General features: G+C 36.6%; 1 protein-coding gene and 1 long non-coding RNA gene across 2 annotated transcripts in view; one reads left to right on the top strand and one right to left on the bottom strand.

The window, feature by feature from the left end:
• Positions 1-21,933, bottom strand: part of SYCP2L (synaptonemal complex protein 2 like) — an 87,258-nt gene that overhangs the window by 20,167 nt on the left and 45,158 nt on the right. The window contains exons 21-23 of the mRNA NM_001040274.3: positions 18,956-19,085; positions 11,614-11,684; positions 11,397-11,466 (exon numbers count right to left, since the gene is read on the bottom strand). Coding sequence (NP_001035364.2) covers positions 11,397-11,466; positions 11,614-11,684; positions 18,956-19,085 — 271 coding nt within the window. The remainder of the gene's footprint in view (positions 1-11,396; positions 11,467-11,613; positions 11,685-18,955; positions 19,086-21,933) is intronic.
• Positions 54-21,826, top strand: LOC101928191 (uncharacterized). Its single transcript, NR_125851.1, has 3 exons — positions 54-98; positions 1,762-2,474; positions 21,554-21,826. It is a non-coding gene; the product is annotated as an uncharacterized LOC101928191 (long non-coding RNA).

The following is a 21,933-nucleotide window of genomic DNA, read 5'->3' as shown; positions in this document are numbered from 1 at the left end:
TGAAAGTTCTGGAATTCAATTTCACTAATTCATTCCATGAATATGTGGACGTTACTATGTGCGAGAGGCAGGGCGATGCGGCTGGCAGATAGTGAGAGGTAAAGACGAAGTGACCCTTCCTCCACTCTGCTCCTGATATCCTGGTCTCCTTGTAGTTCCTTGGACATCCCAGGCACGGTCTTACCTCAAGGCCTTTGCACTTGAGACTCCTCTGACCTCTGACCAGAGCACATCCCCATAGATCTGCACCAAGGATTTCTCCATCCATCTAACCTTAAATTTCAATGTAGCCTCCCAACTCTTCACACTCTCTTCCCAGCTTAATTTTCTTCTCAGCCTTTATCACATACAACATACTACATGTTTTACTTGTCCATCATCTGTCTCCCACACTAGAGGGTAAGGCCCAGTGAGGGCAGGCATTTTTTTTCTTCACTACCATATCCCTGACACCTACAGAAGTGTCTGGCACATAGTAGACACTCAATAAACATTTGTTCAACAAATGAATAGATGAATGCTGCAGAATACCCAAGCTCCTACAAATAAAACACCTGATATGCCCAATGGAGATCTCAATACAACAGATAAGAGTTTATTTCAGTTCTCTTATTCTAATTCTCCTAGTGGTGAGGGTAGAGGTAGAGAAACATCACAAGCTTTAGAGACCTAAATAGCCACTACATATTTGCTATAGTGGCCATGCTTTGGGCTATTGCTACAAATTTGCCACTAAGAAAAAAAAAAGTTCCAGAAGGGGCAGAACAGGAAGTAAGGAAAAGAAACTGCCTTTATTAATAGACAAATAGCAATTAATACATTTAACACTTTAAGACAAATAGCAGTTAATATATTTAGCACTTTAAGATCTGATAAAACTACCTTTTGGAGGAATCTATAAATATATGAATTTGGAAAAAAAGAAAATTATAAATGAGAGGTAAGAAATACCAATTGAGAAAGAAAAAGGATGATCTCAAAGCAAAAAGGATTAAACTAGTAATAATAGTAACTAGTAATAACTATTAAGGACAGACCTCATGGGACACCCTAATTAGTATTCTATAATAGTACTTTCATAAACTGAAAAATTCATTAGAGATCACATTCCCATTCTGCAGAACTTAGAAAAGAAACAGCCAGTATCTGGCCTCTCTGTAATAAAAAAAGAAAAGAAACACATTAAGAAATACTCTTATCTGTGAGAGGCATCTTATAGGAGCTAGTACCTCTTTTCTTCTCATTGCACTTAGACTTAGGTGTGTCCATTTGTTTGAAGGGTTTGGATGGATATTTTCTGGGGGGATCCCGTCATTTCAAGGGCAAAGATTTTTAAAAATAAAAAAAAAGAACCCAATTACAACTCTATCCTTTTCTTTCAGCCTCAAGGCAAACAACATTCATGCTTGCATCTTCTGTGGTGTCTATACCGCAGTCAGGGCCAAAAGAAACCACTTAAAAAGGATTCCACCTAGCCTCAATTAGGCACTGATCAACAATCACCACGTTTCTTTTCCTTACTACCTGTTCTGCCCCTTCTGGAACTTTTTTTTTTTTTCTTGGTGGCAAATTTGTAGCAATAGCCCAAAGTTTGTCCTTGAATTTCAATGTTCCACCCCCATGCATACCTGGGGCAAAGCAAGGCATCTGTCAGCACAGACACTAGTTACATCCACCAAAGAGAGAAATCCAGGAACATCGTGTAAATAACCTGGTCACCCTTTGAATGAATTATGCGGAATTTGTGAACCTACTAACAAGGGATCATCCAGTTGGATGGCTTCAGGGACATGGAAATCACTAGACTTTTAGAAACCTTCTTCGAAGTGGCAGTGCTCGTGAAGTTCTTTACCTTTACCAAAGGCATGGCTCTCCAGAGAGCACAGGCTCCTGCACAAGAACCAGCACTTCATCAGGAGAGGCTGCAGGTACTAAGTGATGTCCTTGGCTCAGTTTTGTTTCCATGGTAACTGTATGCCACTTTTCACTAGCACGTTTCAACATTTTCATAACAGAGTTAAAACTACATACACAGAACACCTCAAAAATAAACACAAACGCAGTCAAGTCATCTTAAAAGAATGTGAAATCCATGTGTATGTGTTGGTGGCTGCAGAGGGGGTGTGCTCCTGCTCTCACAAGAACCCGGCTTTCTTCATTTCCAAGAAAAGTGAAGACAGGTACAATCTGAGGAGCTTCTGAACTTATCTTGGGTAGCCGACTGGGCACAAGTTTCAGTGAACGTATGTTTGGCATCTGTGTTGTATTTTTCAACTTACAAAACTTCTGTTAAAAACAATGTTTAATGCCAGACCTATGGTTAACAGCCAAGCTCCCCTAAGTTAAGGCATTTTTTGAAACCTTGCTCTGAAGTGACACCCTGTGGTAAACAATGATAAAGGCCAACAGTCTTTCCTGAGCAAGAACAGAATCTACCAAAAGATCCTCTGTGGTTTTTACAGCGCTTTCCCAAGGCAAGTACTTTGTTTACCGATGTTTATTAAGTGCTAAGAGTATGACAATTTAAAGACTATCTTTACTGTTGAATTACTCAGTTTGATGGGAACTACTAAATATCTTTTGTATAGATTAATGCAGTTAAGAATGGATAACTCAACTGATAATAAATATTTATTTGTGACTACATATAAATGCTTAAATAGCGAATCAAGCAGAGTTTCATCATTAAATGTTGGGTTTTCTTTTTGTTTGTTTCTTTTGAGACAGGGTCTTGCTTTGTCACCCAGGCTGGAATGCAGTGGCACGATCACAGCTCACTGCAGCCTCATCCTGCCAAGCTCAACCACCCCCATGTCAGCCTCCAGAGTAGCTGGGAACACAGGGACACGCCACCATGCCTGGCTAATGTTTTTGTAATTTTTGTAGAGACAGGGTCTCACTATGTTGCCCAGGCTGGTCTTGAACTCCTAAGCTCAAGCAATCTTCCTGCCTTGGCCTCCCAAAGTTCTGGGATTACAGGCATAAGCCACCATGCCCAGTCTTAAATGTTGGGTTTTCTAAGTTTCTTACTCCATTCCCTTGACAAATACTTATGGAGTGTGTCTATATGCCGGGCACTGAGCTAGGAAGGAACTATCCTCCTGACTCCTTCCTGATTCTGGAGACCTCTCCAAGAAAGTAGATGAAGGCAAAATTCAAAATCTTAAAAAAAAAATTATCCTCTGGCTGGGCATGTGGCTCATGCCTATAATCCCAGCACTTTGGGAGGCTGAGGTGACAGATTGCTTGAGTCCAAGAGTTCAAGACCAGCCTAGCCAACATGTCAAATCCCTGTCTCTACGAAAATTACAAAAATCCGTTGGGTGTGGTGGCATGCACCTGTAGTCCTACCTACTTGGGAGGCTGAGGTGGGAGGATTGCTTAAGCCTGGGAGATCGAAGGCTGCAGTGACCCGAAATTGCACACCGTACTCCAGTCTATCTGAGGGTCCCTCTGACACAAGTCTCTTCTTCTCACCTAGCTTCTGTTAGAGAGCTGGAGGAGAGGCTCTAGTTAAAGGAGGGGCTCCTGCTGATCATACTACAAAAACAAAAGACCAATTGGACCTTAGACTGTATTTTCTAAAAGAAACATAAATCCTCTAATGAAAATGCTAAAAATATTTTTTGAAGTAATTCAGGCAAAAAGAACAAAAGGACAGTGATACCAGGAGGAAAGGTGCAAAGAGGAATTGTGAGCAAAATGATTAAATCTGAGTGTAAATCTAATAAAACACTGAGTAAAGTAATACCAACAGAGAACATTTTACGAATTAAAAAAACTAGAGAAGCAGCCAAAGGGTCAGAAGAATAAGTACGGCACGGAACGCTCATGAAATTTGGATACAGTTTTCAACCATAAGGCAAGTCAAATTGGGTCTTAATATAAGCCCCAATAAATTCTAAACAAACAATATTGTACAGACTGTGTTTCTCTGACCATGTTGCAATAAGTTAGCAAAAGGTAATGAAAGGACAGCTTTAAAATAACCCATATGTTTGGAAACTAAATGTTCAGAAATGTGATTGAAGTTAGTGCTCAAAGGTCCTTCTTCTGTTTGGGATATGGTGAAAACATTTACTTGAAGCTTTTAAAAGTGTGTGTGTTAAAATTTCTAGGGTTAACTTTAGAAATAGGGGACGAAAACTTCCAAACTAGGAAAAGGGGGAAAATGATTAAAAATGATAAATCTAAATGAAGGCAAGGACAGAAAGAATAAAAGAATGAGAATGTGGGACAAAGACGAGAAAACTCAATCCAAATATATCAATGGAAGCACAATGGATTAATTGCTCCTATTAAAAGAGATTGTCAGATCAGATTTTTTTTAATCCAGATATAAGCTCTTTATGTGATAGTCAGCAATTCACAAGGATGAAAAAAAGACTGAAAGTAAAAGAATGGCAAAAAAAAAAAAAAAAGATGTATCAGGTAAATATTAGCCAAAAGAAAACTAGTGTTGCTTTATTGATATTAACTAAGTAAGAAGAGTTACTAGAGATGAACAGTCACTTCCTGATGCACCTAGTAGCACTGCCTCAAAACATATAAAATAGAACAAAGGATATAGATAAGTACATACAGAACACTTATGAAATTTGGATACCGTTTTCAGCCATAAGGCAAGTCCAGTTAGGCCTTAATGTAAGCCCCAGTAAATCTAAAGGAAAGATATTGTACAGACTGTGTTTCTCTGACTATGTTGCAAAAAATTAGCAATAAGTAACAAAAGTATCCCATATGCTTGGAAACTACATTAAATTTTACTAAATAACTGGGTTTTAAAAAATACATAAAAAGGAAGAACTACTAACCATTGATGGTAACAAAAGCACTAATATCAAAATGTGATATAGCCAAAGCATTTCTAAGAAAACTTAAATGCATTTATCAAGAAAACAGAAAGGTTAAAAACAAATGAGTATTTAACTCAAAAGCTGGAAAAAGAGCATCAGAATAAACGTAAAGATATAAGAAGTAAAAATAGAAAAGAGCAGATAACAACAGAAGAGAAAACAATAGAAATAAAAACAGAGAAGAGTAACAAACCAAAATATCAATTCTTTAAAAGATGAGTTAGGTGGACCTCTAGTAAAACTTATCAAGAGTCAAAGATACAAATAAGCAAGTACACAATAAAAAGGAAACAACTACAATGATTAAAATTAAACATTAAGAAGCACACTAAAAAATATGATGCTAAGAGAGGCATTCCTAGAAAAACACAGAATTCCAAAACTGACCCAAGAAGAAATAGAGAACTTGGGTATATCAGTGGCTATTAAGGAAATTGAAATAATAACGTTTTCCCCCAAATTCCCCAAATTCCCAGGTGGTTTTACAAACTTTTAAAAAATAGTTAGTTTTTATCATATATAAACTTTTCCAGCAAGAGAGAGAGCTGCCCAGCTTCCATCCACAGGCTAGTGTGACACTGATTCCAATGCCAGATAATAGCAGTAGGAGAAAAGTACAGGTTTGTTCCACTCATGAGTGTAGATGTAAAGCTCATTAATAAGGTATTCACTAAATAAGTCCAACAATGTATCTTTTTTTAAATGTACCACAATCAAATGAGGTTTATCCCAGGAACACAAGTATGGCTGAACAACATAATACCTATTGATATAATTTGTCATATTAATAAGCAAAAGGACCACCACACCCTTCTACTCTCTGTTTCTATGAGTTGTACTTTTAAAAATTCCACATATAAGTAAAACTATGCAGCATTGGTCTGTGTCTGGCTTCTTTCACTTAGCATAGAAGGGTGGTTACCAGGAATCAAGGGGTTGGGAAAACCGGGAGACGTTGGTCAAAAGGCATAAACTTTCAGTTATTAAATGAAAAAGTTCTAGAGACCTGAGATATGAATGGTGACTACAGCTAATAATAATGTATATGTACTTGAAATTGGCTGAGAGAGTAGATCTTTATTATTAACACACGCATACACACACACAAAGATAACTATGTGAGGGGATATGTAAATTAGCTTGATTACGGTAATCATTTCACAATGCATATGCGTAACAAAATATCATATTAGATACCTTAAATATATACAATTTTTATTTGCCAATTATTCCTCAATAAAGCTGGAGGGAAAAAAAGAAACCAAAGGAGAAAATTCATTTGATTATTTTAGTTGATGCAGAAAAATGCATTTCATAACTTCAATACTTATGTATGATTTTTTAAAAACTCAGAGCAAATTATGAGTAGAAAGGAACTTCTTTAACCTGGTAAAAATTCAATACCAAAAATCTACTGCAAACATTTTACTTAACAGAGAAACTTTAGATGCATTTGCTATAAGATTAGAAAAAAGACAAGGATGCAGATTTTCACTGCTATTTTTAAGACATACTAAAGATATTGGCCAATGCTATGAAGAATGAAAAATAAGAGATGTAAGTATCAGAAGGGGAGAAAGAATCTATCATTTTTTGCAAGTAATAGAATCATCTACTTAGGATAACTAAGAGAATCAACAGATAAATTATTTGACCTAATAAGAGTTCAGCAAGGTTGCCAGATACAGGGTTATTTTATAAAAATTAACAGTATCGCTCTACTTTAGCAATAACAAATTTTAAAACAATAGTAACAAAATCATAAATACCTAGGAATTACCCAAAAATACATAAGCCCTTCACAGAGAAAACTTTAAAACTCAATAAAGGACGCAGACAATGACACAGATCAATAGAGAGACATTTCATACTCTTGTGTGGGATGGTTTAATATTTTAAAGATGTCACTTCTCTTCAAGTTAACTTATATATTTAATGCAATTTCTATCAAAATTCTAGTGAACTTAAGTAACTTGATCAACTTGGTCTAAATTTATATGAAAAAATAAGAAGTCCCTTGAACAACTAAAGTCAACTTTGAAAAAGAGGAAAGAAGATAAACTACTCTATTTAAACAAAGAAAAACAAGCTCAAAAATATCTTCAGGGAATAGGAACTACACAAAAGGACCTAGTAGCTCTAGAAAGAACCAAACAACTTCTAGAAATAAAAAATAAAATAAACATTCAATGATAGGTCCAGTATTAGATACTGGTGAACAGGTAGTTGTGAAAAACAGATGAAATTATCTAGCATGCAAATAAAGTGAAGGAATAGAAAATACGTAGGAGTGGGTAAAAGATGTGGAATCTAGTTGGAGTTCAAGCAGGAGAAAGAGGAATGAGCCAAAAGCAATATTTGAGGAGATAATTGCTGAGAATGTTCCAGAACTGATGAAAGACATGTCACATATTCCAGATTCCCTACAAATGCCAAGGAAGATAAACAAAAAGGTTTATCTTAGACGTATTTAGACTTACTTAGACAAATTTTAATAAGTGGAACATTACCAAGGATAAATGGAAAAAATCATATATATATTGAGGAGGGAAAAAAAAGGACAAATTACCTTTGAAGAATGACTGGTAGATTGACAGCTAAATTTTCATCAGGAAGAATAGAAAACAAAAAGCAATTGAATAATTTCTTTGATGTATGACAGAAAAAATTCTGCCAATATGGTATTCTTCACCCAGTAAAATTTAATTCAAGAATAAAGGTTGAATGGGCATTTTCATAAAGCAAAAATTCAACCTCAAGTTTTAAAATAAAATTAAAGAACACCAACACATTATGTGGTTGGGGTAGGCCAATGGAATTCAAGGATCTTAGGTCTATATAATCTGGAGGAAAAGTAACACTAAATTAAATTTAGGCTTAGAAATTTACACATTATGTAAAAGTAACACTAGATTAACACTAAATTAAATTTAGGCTTAGAAATTTACACGTTATGGAAAAGTAACACTAGATTAAATTTAGGCTTAGAAATGACACATTATGATTTCTAAGTTAATCAGTAAATGAAAAAAGAAATAGAGTATATAACTACAAATGAGTAGAGGTAAAAAATACAATAAAAATACTTATGCAAAATGAAAAGAATGAGAGAAAGAAAACAGAATGGTTGGGGCACACAGAAAGCACAAAACAAATTGGTAGATATAATCCAAATATGGGGGAAAGTACATGAAATGTAAATGGACTAAATACTCCAGTTAAAAGACATACTATGAAATGAGGGGCAAGGAAGTCCAAATACAGGCTGTTTACAAGTTATATATATAACATTATGAAACACATACACATATGTCAGTCATGAAAAGACTTTTAGAAATTATACCATGCAAATTCTAAACGAAATAAACAGACTTCAAGACAAAAACATGACTAGATACAGGGGTCATCACTTCATAATGATAAGAGTTTTAATATGCCATAAGGCAAATATACAATAAGGTAAATATTTTACTTTTATCTAAAGACTTACTCTTTTTTTTTTTTTTTTTTTTTTTTTAAGATGGAGTCTCACTCTGTTACCCAGGCTGGAGTGCCATGGCACGATCTTGGCTCACCGCAACCTCCGCCTCCTGGGTTTAAGTGATTCTCTTGCCTCAGCCTCCCAAGTAGCTGGGATTACAGGCATGCACCATCACACCTGGTTAATTTTTGTATTTTTAGTAGAGACAGTGTTTCCCCATGTTGGTCAGGCTGGTCTTGAACTCCTGACCGCAGGTGATCCACCCACCTTGGCCTCCCAAAGTGCTGGGATTACAGGTGTGAGCCACCACGCCTGGCCTAAAGACTTATTATTTAGAAAAAAGATTTATAGGGAGCAAAAATTGAACAGAACCAGAAGAAAAAACCAGCAAATCCACAATCATAGCGAAAGTTTTTAATACACTTCTCTCAGCACTTGATAGAATAAGTAGACTGATTAAAAAACAGTAAGAATGTAAGATTTGAAGGACATAGTTAAGAAAAGTAACCTAATGAATATACATATATAGAGACACTGCACCCAATGATTGTGAAATATACTCTTTTAACCACAAATTAATATTTTTAAAAATTGGCATATACTAAGCCATAACGTACATCTCAAAATTTCAAAAGGTATAATCATACAGACTATGTTCTCTAGTCACAATGCAATCAAAGTAGAAAACCATAACAAAAAGATAGCTAAAAGCTCCTATACCACTGAGAATTAACAAATATACTTCTAACCAACATTTGGATCAATGAAGAAATCAAAATAAAAAATATTTTAGGCCGGGCACGGTGGCTCATGCCTGTAATCCCAGCACTTTGGGAGGCCGAGGCAGGCAGATCACCTGAGGTCAGGAGTTCAAGACCAGCCTGGCCAACATGGCGAAACCCCGTTGCTACTAAAAATGCAAAATTAGCTGGGTATGGTGGCACATGCCTGTAATCCCAGCTACTTGGGAGGCTGAGGCAGGAGAATCGCTTGAACCTGGGAGACAGAGGTTGCAGTGAGCCAAGATCACGCCACTACACTCCAGCCTGGGTGACAGAGTGAGACTCTGTCTCAAAATAAAAAAATTAAAAAATAAAAAATAATATTTTAAAGTAAATAATGACAAATATATATTATAATGTGTGGGATTCACCTAAAGCAGTACTTAGAGAGAAATGGATAGCATTAAATGTAGTAACATAGGAAATAATATATAATATCTTTTTGGTAGGTAAGAATTTCATATGACTAACCACAGAGGAAAGATGAAAGAGAATTTATTAAAATTAAAAGCTTTGATTTATCAAAAAAAGCAATCTTAAACAGATTATACAGAGAGAGAAGTACAGACCACACAGTGGAAGAAGATATTTACAAGCCACATAATCAAGGACAAGTGTCCAGAATGTATTACGAAGAATTCCTAGGAATCAATATAAGAAGATAATTCTATAGACAACTAGGCAAGACGTGTTAGACACTACACAAGAGGAAATTCAAATGGCTAATAAACACACAAAATTATGCTAAATTTCAATCAGGGATATTTGAATTAAAACTTCAGTGTCCACACACACATATATCAGAAATTTAAAATACCAAGTGTTGGTGAGGATGTAAAGCAACAGGACTCTCATATACGGCTGGTGGAAAAGTAAAAGATACAGTCACTTTGAGAAAGTTTGGCATATGTAAAATTGTTAAAGGTATACATATTTTATAACCCAGCAATTATACTCCTAAAAATGTGCCTAGACAAGATTTTTAACCTGTGTATCAGGAGAGAGTTCATGATTCTTCATAGTGGCATTATTTCTAACAACCCAAATTGCAAAAATCCAAATATCCCACAGCACTGGAATGGATTTTTAAATATGGTATTTTCATGTAACTGCATGCTAAATAGTAAAGAAATATACCTCAATTACACACATTAGCATGAATGGATCTCACAAATGATTGAGCAAAAGAAGCCACATATAATGTATACAGTATAATGTCATTTGTTTACATTTAGAATCAGATAAAACTAAACTGTATATTATTTAGGGATACATATGGAGAAAGCAAAATTATAAAAAGAAGTAACTGAAGGATGTTTACAAAAGTCATAAGTCATTACCTCTATGAGGGATGAAAGAAATTAATAAGTAATAATCTGGTATGGAAGGATTCTAAGCCAATGGCAATTTTCTAGTTCCCAGTTTGAGCTGTGGTTACACAGATGTTCACTTTATAGTCATTCTTTAAACTGTACACATCTATCTCTTCTGAATGTATGGTATTTCTCACAACGCACGAATGAACAAAAAAGCAGAGACTCAGACATAAAATTAAGGGGAGGGGGTGGGATGGGTTTCAGGTAAAGCATACCAGGATTTTGAAAGCAATAGTAATGTTATATTCCTAAAACAGGATGGTGGTTTGCAGATATTTGTTGCATTAATATTCTAAATATCCTACACATATTTATAACTAGTTGAATCCTTTCGATACGTAATTTTAAAAGTAGAGAAAAAAATGCAGTCAAGAAACATCATAAACAGTAGAAAAGTATTATATTAACTCATTACATTATATTAGATACAACATTGTGAACCAGACTGGAAATCTTCATACCACTGTTAACATGAGTAAATGAACTCAGAAGTTTTAATAATTTGACCACACAATGTTTTAGAACATTTCTTATAAACCACAAGTGACCTACATGCTTGAGAATGAAATCAGCTCTGGATGAGACCCTTAGCAAAGTACCGCCACTGTGCCCTCCTCTGAGGCTGGAGAGAAGGTGTGACTGGCTGGTGGGATTCAGGTCCCAGGCTATACCTTCCTTGGCACAAGAGGTCCTGGTTCCTGAATGGAGCCCCCCATTTTTCCTCCTAACCTTCATGAACATTTAGAACTAGTAAGCAGCTCACACTGCTCCCTCCACGGCCTGGCAATAGTCACTGTGCAAAGTGACTTGATCTGCAATCTGAGTAACAGCCCAGTCTGCCAAAATCAGATTAATTTCATTTTATTCTGCAAAAAAAAAAAAAAAAGTACTATTCTCTTACCTTTGTCTTCCAAGTTTCTCAGCTTATGTTTCAAGCTAGTACTTTCTGTTAGTGATTCTTGGTTCACAATCTTAAAAACAAAACAGACCACAAATTACGTCCTTTATGGCAAAGCAAGAAACAAGTGGTGTACTCGTCAGAAGGAATAGCCAATGTGTTATGCAAATATGATATTAATTCTGGAAAATCAGATGAATAACCAACAATTAAATAGTACCTTAGGTTTTTCTTCATCTTCTGAGTGCTTCAAGGAAGAGAGCTCACTCAGTGAGTGAGGATCTTGAAGCTCTGAGCATTAGAGAGAAGTTTCAAGTGAATACACGCCAAGTAACAAAGCAATAAGAATTCACTATCATTCTAGATATTAAATCTCATCATCAAAAAAAAGGAACACAGTTCTAAGTGAAACAAAAATCTACTGACTGTGTCTTTCGGGACACGAATTCTTTTTTATTATACTTTTAAGTTTTAGGGTACATGTGCACAACGTGCAGGTTACGTATGTATACATGTGCCATGTTGGTGTGCTGCACCCATTAACTCGTCATTTAACATTAGATATATCTCTTAATGCTATCCCTCCCCCCTCCCCCCACCCCACAACAGGCCCCAGTGTGTGATGTTCCCTTTCCTGTGTCCATGTGTTCTCATTGTTCAATTCCCACCTATGAGTGAGAACATGTGGTGTTTTTCATCCTTGCGAGTTTGCTGAGAATGATGGTTTCCAGCTTCATCCATGTCCCTACAAAGGACATGAAATCATCATTTTTTATGGCTGCATAGTATTCCATGGTGTATATGTGCCACATTTTCTTAATCCAGTCTATCGTTGTTGGACATTTGGGTTGGTTCCAAGTCTTTGCTATTGTGAATAGTGCCACAATAAATATACCTGTGCATGTGTCTTTATAGCAGCATGTTTTATAATCCTTTGGGTATATACCCAGTAATGGGATGGCTGGGTCAAATGGTATTTCTAGTTCTAGATCCCTGAGGAATCACCACACTGACTTCCACAATGGTTGAACTAGTTTACACTCCCACCAACAGTGTAAAAGAAAAGTGTGCCTATTTCTCCACATCCTCTCCAGCATCTGTTGTTTCCTGACTTTTTAATGATCGCCATTCTAACTGGTGTGAGATGGTATCTCATTGCGGTTTTGATTTGCATTTCTCTGATGGCCAGTGATGGTGAGCATTTTTTCATGTGTCTGTTGGCTGCATAAATGTCTTCTTTTGAGAAGTGTCTGTTCATATCCTTTGCCCACTTTTGGATGGGGTTGTTTTTTTCTTGTAAATTTGTTTGAGTTCTTTGTAGATTCTGGATATTAGCCCTTTGTCAGATGAGTAGATGGCAAAAATTTTCTCCCATTCTGTAGGTTGCCTGTTCACTCTGATGGTGGTTTCTTTTGCTGTGCAGAAGCTCTTTAGTTTAATTAGATCCCATTTGTCAATTTTGGCTTTTGTTGCCATTGCTTTTGGTGTTTTAGACACGAAGTCCTTGCCCATGCCTGTGTCCTGAATGGTATTGCTGAGGTTTTCTTCTAGGGTTTTTATGGTTTTAAGTCTAACATTTAAGTCTTTAATCCATCTTGAATTAATGTTTGTTTAAGGTGTAAGGAAGGGATCCAGTTTCAGCTTTCTACATACGGCTAGACGATTTTCCCAGCACCACTTATTAAATAGGGAATCCTTTCCCCATTTCTTGTTTTTGTCAGGTTTGTCAAAGATGAATTCTTATTAGGTTTGTACATCTGTAGTTAAGATTAACAGCCAGTTACTTCAACTAGATCGGCACCTTAAGGAGCTGCCCATCTGGCCTCAAATAACACGGGCAGGGATTCTTCCACCTCAATCTTGTGATTCTTCTCTCCCTTAGAAACCCCTCCCTTATTGCCTCTTACTCTTTTTTGATGATTTGATATACATATATACGGTGTAATGATTATCACTTTCAAATCGATGAACACATCCATCACTACCTGTGCTGTATATTACATCCCCAGAACTTGTTCATGTTATGCCTGAAAGTTTATATCCTTCGAGGACCATCTCCTCTTTCCCCCCACCTCCTAGCACCTGGCAACCACTGTTCCATTCTCTGTTTCTATGAGTTTGACTTTTTTACATTCCGTATATATGTGAGATTATATAGTATTTGTCCTTTAGTGACTAGCTTATTTCACTTACTATAATGTCCTCCAGGTTTATCCATGTTGTTGCATATGGCCTGATTTCCTTCTTTTTTGAGGCTGAATAGTATTCCATTATTAATATATACCACATTTTCTATATTCATTCATCCACTGACCAGTGCTTAGGCTGATTCCATATCCTGGCTATTGTGAATAATGCTGCAATAAACATGGGAGTGCAGATCTCTCTTCAAGATGCTGATTTTATCTGCTTTGGATATATACATGGAAGTGGGATTGATGGATTCTATACAATTCTAATTTTTTTGAGAAAACACCATACTGTTTTCCACAATAGTTGCATCAGTTTACATTCTCACCAACAGCGTACAATTGTTCCCTTCTCTCCATACCCTTGCCAACACTTGTTATCTCCTGTCTTTTCGATAATAGCTATCTGGACAGGTGTGAGATATCACATTATGGTTTTGATTTGCATTTCTCTAATGATCAGTGATGTTGAGTACATATACCCATTAGCCATTTGTGCTTCTTTTTTGGAAAAATGTCTATTCAGCTTCTTTACCCATTTTTAATTAGGTTATGTGTTGTCTTGCTTTTGAGTTGTGGAAGTTATTTTGAATATTAACCCCTAACCTATTATCAGATATATGATTTGCAATATTTTCTCCCATTCTTTAGGTTGTCTTTCCATTTGATTGATTGCTTTCTTTGCTGTGCACAAGATTTTTAGTATGACATAGTCCCAAAAGTTTATTGTGCTATTAGGGTTGTATGCAAGAAATCATTGCTAAGACCAATGTCAAAGAGCTGTTTCCCTATTTTTGTCTTGTACAGTTTTAGATCTTAAAGTCTTAACCTATTTTGAGTTGATTTTTGTATATGGTATAAAACAAAGGCCCAATTTCATTGTTTAGTATGTGGATAACCAGTTTTCCCAAAACATTTATTGAAGACGCTTTCCTTTCCTCATTGTGTATTCTTGGTGCCCTTTTCAAAGATTAAGTGGCCATATATATGTGTAGGTTTATGTCTGGGCCCATAATGTTATCTTGGCCTATGTGCCTGTCTCTATGGCAGTACTATACTGTTTTGATTACTATAGTTTTTGAATACACTTTGAAATCAGAAAGTGTGATGCCTCCAGCTTTATTCCTCTTTCTCAAGATTGCTTTGGCTATTTAGGATCTTTTGTGGTTCCATATAAATTTTAGGATAGTTTTTTCTATTTCTGTGAAAAATGCCAGTAGAAATTTGATAGCAGTTGAATTGAATCTGTATATTGCTTTGGATAATAAGGACATTTTAACAATTCTTCCAATCCATGTACATAGGATATTCTTCCATTTATTTGTGTCTTCAATTAATTTCATCAATGTCTTATAGTTTTCAGATTATGACCTTTCACCTCCTTGGTTATTTTTATGTGTTTTTTGTAAGCTATTATCAATGAAATTTTCTTTTTTTTTTTGAGATGGAGTCTCGTTGTGTCACCCAGGCTGAAATGCAGTGGCGTGATCTCAGCTCACTGCAACCTGCACCTCCTGGATTCAAGCAATTCTCCCGCGTCAGCCTCCTGAGTAGCTGGGACTACAGGAGTGTGCCACCATGCCTAGCTAATATGTTGTATTTTTAGTAGAGATGGGGTTTCACTGTGTTAGCTGGGATGGTCTCGATCTCCTGACCTCGTAATCCTCCGGCCTTGGCGTCCCAAAGTGCTGGGATTACAGGCATGAGCCACCATGCTTGGCTGAGATTTTCTTGATTTCTTTCTTAGACAGTTTACTGTTAGTGTCTAGAAATGCAACTGATTTTTGTTTTGTTTTGTTGAAACCCAGAAGCAAACCCCACAACTGATTTTTGTATGTTGATTTTGTATCCTGCAACTTTACTGAATTCATTTATTAGTTCTAACAGTTTTTTGGTGAAGCCTTTACAGTTTGATATATGTAAAATCATGTCATCTTTAAACAAAAACAATTTAACATCTTCCTATTTGGATGTCTTTTATTTCTTTTTCTTGCCTGGATAGAACTGGGTAGGACTTCCAGTACTATGTTAAACAGAAGTGGCAAGAGTAGACACCTTTGTCGTATTCCTGATCTTAGAGGAAAAGCTTTCAGCTTTTCACCATTGAGTGGAATGCTAGCTCTGGGCTTGTCATATATGGCCTTTTTAATATTGAGGTGCATTCTATATGTACTTAATTTGTTGAAAGTCATTATGAAAGGATGTTAAATTTTGTCAAATGCTTTTTTTGCATCTATTGAAATGATTCTATGAATTTAACCTTCATTCTCTTAATGTGGTTTATCACATTTATTGATTTGCATATATGGAAACTTCCTTGAATCTCAGGGATAAATCCTACTTTAACATGGTGTATAGTCCTTTTAATGTGCTATTTAGTAAGTTTTGCTAGTATTTTTGAGGGTTTTTACATATACGTTCATCAGAGACATTGGCCTGTAATTTTCTTTTCTTGTAGCATTCTTATCTGGCTTTGACAAGAGGGTAATGCTGGCCTCATAAAATGGGTTTGGAAGTGTTCTGTCCACCTCAGTTTTTTGGAAGAGTTTGAAAAGGATTGGCATTAATTTTTCTTTAAATACTTGGTAGAGTTCACCAGTGAAACCGTCTGGCCCTGGGCTACTCTCCGTTGGGAGGTTTGATTACTGATTTGATCTCCTTACTCATTATGGGTCTGTTCAGCTTTTCTATTTCTTTATATTCAGTCTTGGTAGGTCGCATGTTTCTAGAAACTCACCCATTTCTTCTAGGTTATCCAATTTGTTGGTGTATAATTTGTTTGTTGTAATGGCTTATGATCCTTTGTAGTTCTGTGGTATCAGTTGTAGTGTCTCCTTTTTCATTAACAGTTTTTTTTGAGTCCTCTCTTTCTCTTGGTTAGTCTAGCTAAAGGTCTGTCAATTTCATTCTTTCCAAACACAAACTCTTAGTTTCATTGAACATTTCTATTGTCTTTCTAGTGCCTACTTCATTTATTTATGCCTTAATATTTGTTATTTTCTTCGTTAAGCTGACTTTGGGTTTAGTTTCTTCTTTTTTCAGTTTCTTGAGGGGTGAAGTTACTTGGGATTTTCCTTTTTTCTTAAGGTAGGTATTTATTGCTAATAAACTCCCCTTTTAACACTGCTCTTGCTGCATCCTGTAAATTTTGGTATGTTTCCATTTTCATTTATCTCAAGATTTTTTAATTTCCCTTTTAATTTATTTGATCCATTGGTTATTCGGGAGTGTGTTGTTTAATTTCCATGTATTTGTGAATTTTCCAATCTTCCTCCTGCTATTATTTCTAGTTTCATACTGCTGTGATCAGAAAAGACATCTGAGATTATCTCAATCTTTTCAAATTTGTTAAGATGTATTTTGTAGCCCAACATATGATCAATTCTGGAGAATGTCCCATGCGCACTGTACACTGGAGAAGAATAAGTGTTCCACTGCTGTTAGATGGAATGTTCTGTATATGTTAGTTAGATTCATCTGGTCTACAGTATTATTCAAGCCACTGTTTCCTTATTGATTTTCTATCTGGATAATCTATCGACTATTGAAGGTGGGGTAATTAAAGAACTCTTTTATTGTATTGCTATTTCTCTCTTCAGGTCTATTAATATTTGCTTTATACATTTAGGTGCTGTAATGTTGGGTGCATATATATATTTACAATTGCTATTTCCTGTTGATGAATTAACCCTTTTATCATCATCTAGTCTTTGTCTCTTGTGACAAATTTTGACAGAAAGTCTATTTTGCCTGATGTAGGTATAACCACATCCCTGCTCTCTTTTGATTGCCATTTGCATGGAATATCTTTTTCCGACCCTTCACTTTCAGTTTATATCTGTCCTTAAGGTACAGTGAGTCCCCTGTAAGCAGCAGATTGCTGAATCTCACTTTTTTCTATCCATTCAACCACTCTGTGTCTTTTGATTGGAGAATTTAATCCATTTAAAGTAATTATTGATAGGTAAAAACTTAGTATTGCCATTTTGTTGATTGTTACTCTTTTGTAGTAACTTTGTTCCTTTCTTCCCTATCTTGCTCTCTTCCTTCCTTTTAATCTATTTTTTTTTCTTTGTGAGATAGAGTCTCACTCTGTCGCCCAGGCTGGAGTGCAGTGGCTCACTGCAACCTCTGCCTCCCGGTTCAAGCAATTCTCCTGTCTCAGCCTCCCGAGTAGCTGGGACTACAGGTGCCTGCCACCATGCCTGGCTAGTTTTTGTATTTTTAGTAGAGACGAGGTTTCACTATATTGGTCAGGCTGGTCTCGAACTCCTGACCTCAGGTGATCTGCCCGCCTCAGCCTCCCAAAGTGCTGGGATTACAGGAGGGAGCCACTGCGCCTGACCCCTTTTATTCTTTAATGTTACATTTTCCTCTCTACTTTTTGATTTTCCCTACTTATTTTCTTCCAGTGGCAGCTACACTAACAGATTGTTATTGAAGTACTTACTAAATATCATTGTATGCCTGGCAATGTGAACTGCAGAATAATGAACAATATTAATATTGTTATTAATAATAATAAAATCATATTATTAACAAACTTAAAAACACAGTCAAAATAAAATACAGTGAGGGTTAAGAAAAAGCCTATAGGTTAAGGGTTGGCAAACTCTGGCCCCCAAGTCAGATCCAGTCTGCTACCTGATTTTATAAATAAAGTTTTATGGAAAGACAGCCACCCCATTGGCTTACATCTTATCCATGGCCAATTTTGTGCAACAACTGCAGAGTTGAATAGTCACAACAGAAACCATATGGATCAAGTCTGGCCATGGTGGCTCACGCCTGTAGTCCCAGCACTTTGGGAAGGCAAGGTGGGCAGATCACTTGAGGTCAGGAGTTCCAGACTGGACTGGCCAACATGGTGAAACTCCGTCTCAACTAAAAATACAAAAATTAGCCGGGCATGGGAGGCTGAGGCAGGAGAATCGCTTGAACCTGGGAGGCGGAGGTTGCAGTGAGCCAGGAGCACACCATTGCACTCCAGCCTGGGTGACAGAGCAAGACTCCGTGTCAAAAAAAAAGAAAAGAAAAAGAAACCATATGGATCAAAAAGCAAAAAATATTTACTATTGGAACCTTACAAAAAATGTTTACCAACCCCTGCTACAGGTCATCATTTGAGATGTCTTGCTTCTTTAAAAAAAGAAGAGACCAGCAATTCTTGGGTACAAGATGATCTCAAATGGCACAGCAAAATTAAAACATCATATCCTCTGTTAATTTGCTAATAAGAGACATTAAGGTAAAGAACAATGTTATCTTCATATTTTCTTTAATAGATATTAAAATAAAAATGTTTTGTTTACTTCAAACTACCTTTCCCAAATACAAATTTTTTCCTATGTAAGTCAACAGAAAATCATGTACCTGTTTTCTGGGCAGAATCTTCAGCAGTCAAAAAAGCAAAACTATCTTGGAATTTTTGTTCAGAAGTCTTTGGAGATGTGGTGTTATTTTGCTCGGGTATTTCTTTCTCTGATGGTGATAGAAGCTTAGCCTAAAATATAGTATCTTTTTTAAGTGTTAACATTCATAATTAAAAACAAGTTATCAAAATATTGTAAGACATTTTCAATATTACTTTAAGAAGCTTAAGTATTAGATTTACTCCATTTGAAAATAAATGCTAATTCTACTAAGAATTTCTGTGTGTTTTTAGTTGAGGGGTGGATATTAGCTTAATGCCATGGTACTGAATCTGAATTAGGTCATTTACTCTTTCTCGAGATACAGAAATGAAAATCTCATGAATCCTTGGAAATCAGAAATTCTGTTAGGTAAAAAGAGAAAGGCTGGCACCTGATCCCAGACTCTGGTTTTCACAGTTGGAAAGAATCTTACAGATTCTTGAATTTCCAATTTCCAGTTATCTTTTTTAAGATGGAATCACTCTGTCACCCAGGCTAGAGTGCAGTAGTGTGATCTCAACTCACTGCAACCTCCACCTACTGAGTTCAAGCAATTCTCGTGCCTCAGCCTCATGAGTAGCTGGAATCATAGGCACGCGCCACCACACCCAGCTAATTTTTTTGTATTTTATTAGAGATGGGGTTTCGCCATGTTGGCCAGGCTGGCCTCAAACTCCTGACCTCAGGTGATCTGCCCGCCTTGGCCTCCCAAAGCGCTGGGATTACAGGCATGTGCCACCGCACCCAGCCAATTTCCAGTTGTCTTCTAATGGCTCTGCATTCAAGTACTGCTCCCCTCAAATGGACAATAGATTCAAACCTTGACTCTTTGAATTATTTTTAAAGTATATATTGAGACAGAAATGTTTTCCTTAGGAACTACAACATCACTATTTTCATTAATTTAAAATTACCTTAAAGACATTTGCAAATAATAGTACTTTCATTAAATACATTAATAAAAACCAAAGGGGAGGGAGAATAAAGCAAGCTTATTTCAGAGATTTAGTTAAGAGAGAGACAGAGTGCACGAGACAGAGACAGAGGGAATGTGCCTGTCTAAAGTCCTAGGGTCAAAGCAAAGCGACTACTCATTTAAACATTCCTGCTCTACCTGCCTCTATTCTATTACAGCATGAGAACTGATCTGCCTAATGATCCTAGTGAAAATCCTAAATGATCAATGATTCAATTATATTTCCTTTACTCAGCTTACTAAGCTAAGAAAATAAAATATCTAACAATTAGAATTAGTGTAAGGGGATACTAGATTTAAATTTTAATTGGCAGGAAAATTACATTAACTAAATCCTTCCTTCTTGAGGATTAATTGAGTTAATTGAGATTTTACTGCAGTAAATAAAATTCTGACTGCATTTTTACTGAATAGGAAATTTCTCCTTGTGCTTTCATTCAAAGTTTGGTATAAATGCTATTGAGCTTCTCTTTTTAATTTTTCAAAGACACATCTAATAAACGTAGCCACAAAAAAATAAATACTAAGATCGTAAGACCCCTGAATTGGAAGAACGTGAAGTCATATTTCAGTAGATAACTCGAAGTGTGGTCTCGAAGTGTGGTCTAGACTGGCACATGAGCAGTATCTGGGAACTTGATGGAAATGCAAATTCTCAAGTCCCATCTATTCAATTCAAAACTCTAGGGACAGGACCCAGCAATCTATGTTTCAGCAAGCCATCCTGGTCATTGTGATGGCCACTAGTGTTTGAGAACCACTGCTCTGTATCAGGGGTTGGCAAACTAATCTGTTGCTGTTCTTGAAAGCAAAGTTTTATTAGAACACAGCATACCCATGTGTTTCCATTCCGTCTCTGGCTGTTTTCTGGCTACAAAGGCAGAGGTGAGTAGTTGCCAAAGAGATTGCATGGCTCAGAAAGCCAAAAGTATTTACTATCTGGCCCTTTACAGAAAAAATGTGCTGACCTGACCTCTGCTGTAAATTATTCTCTTATACAGAGAGAAGTATATTTTTGAATACCAGTATTTGTAGAAAGTCAGCAATGCCCTCACTGAAAATCAACATAGATTTCTTGCCAGAGGCACAGCTTAAATTTATCGATTTTTTAAGCTGTGGCAAGGCACGGTGGCTCACGCCTGTAATCCCAGCACTTTGGGAGGCCAAGGCAGGTGGATCACTTGAGATCAGGAGTTCGAAACCAGCCTGGCCAACATGGCAAAACTCTGTCTCTACTGAAAATACAAACATTAGCTGGGCGTGGTGGCAGACGCCTGTAATCCCAGCTACTCAGGAGGCTGAGGCAGGAGAATCACTTGAACCTGAGAGGTGGTGGTTGCAGTGAGCTGAGATCGCACTACTGCACTTCAGCCTAGGTGACAGAGCAAGACTCCGTCTCAAAAAAAAAATTTTTTTTGAAGCTGTGGTATTTCTTTGGTGTTTATTCCAAATAAAAGCTGTATTACTAGAAACTGTTCTTTGGGTCCATTTCTAACTGATAACTCATTATTTCAGGTTGAACTATTCAATGAATAAATACTTACTCTGGCTCATAGGTTTAACCCACCCCTCTCCTTACAGAGCATGAGAGCCCTTCAGGTGGACAGAGGGCAACACACTCCAGGCTGATGGAAGACAGACGATGAAGATGTGATTAAAACCCTAACCAAACTATTTCTGCATGAGCAAGCGGGGCACTGTCGATACTCTCAGAATCACAGCAGCCACTCCTTATAAACCGCTCCGAACTTGCTGATATGCTCTGTACTGTATACATAGCTCACGTGACACAAAACACAAACCAACTGCTGAGAGAGGTAATTCAGTGAATAAACGGCAAAAGTTGGCTTTGAATTGGTGCAGACACTGCTGTCTCTATTCTTAACTACTCTGATATAAAACAAGGATAAGTGAAGGGAAATGAAGAAACTTTGAGGGTTTATTCAATATTTATATAAGCC

This window comes from Homo sapiens, chromosome 6 (assembly GCF_000001405.40).
Source record: "Homo sapiens chromosome 6, GRCh38.p14 Primary Assembly".
In the NCBI taxonomy this organism is placed as follows: Eukaryota; Metazoa; Chordata; class Mammalia; order Primates; family Hominidae; genus Homo; species Homo sapiens.
The sequence above is the reverse complement of the archived record's forward strand: the minus strand, read 5'-3'. Positions and strand labels throughout refer to the sequence as shown.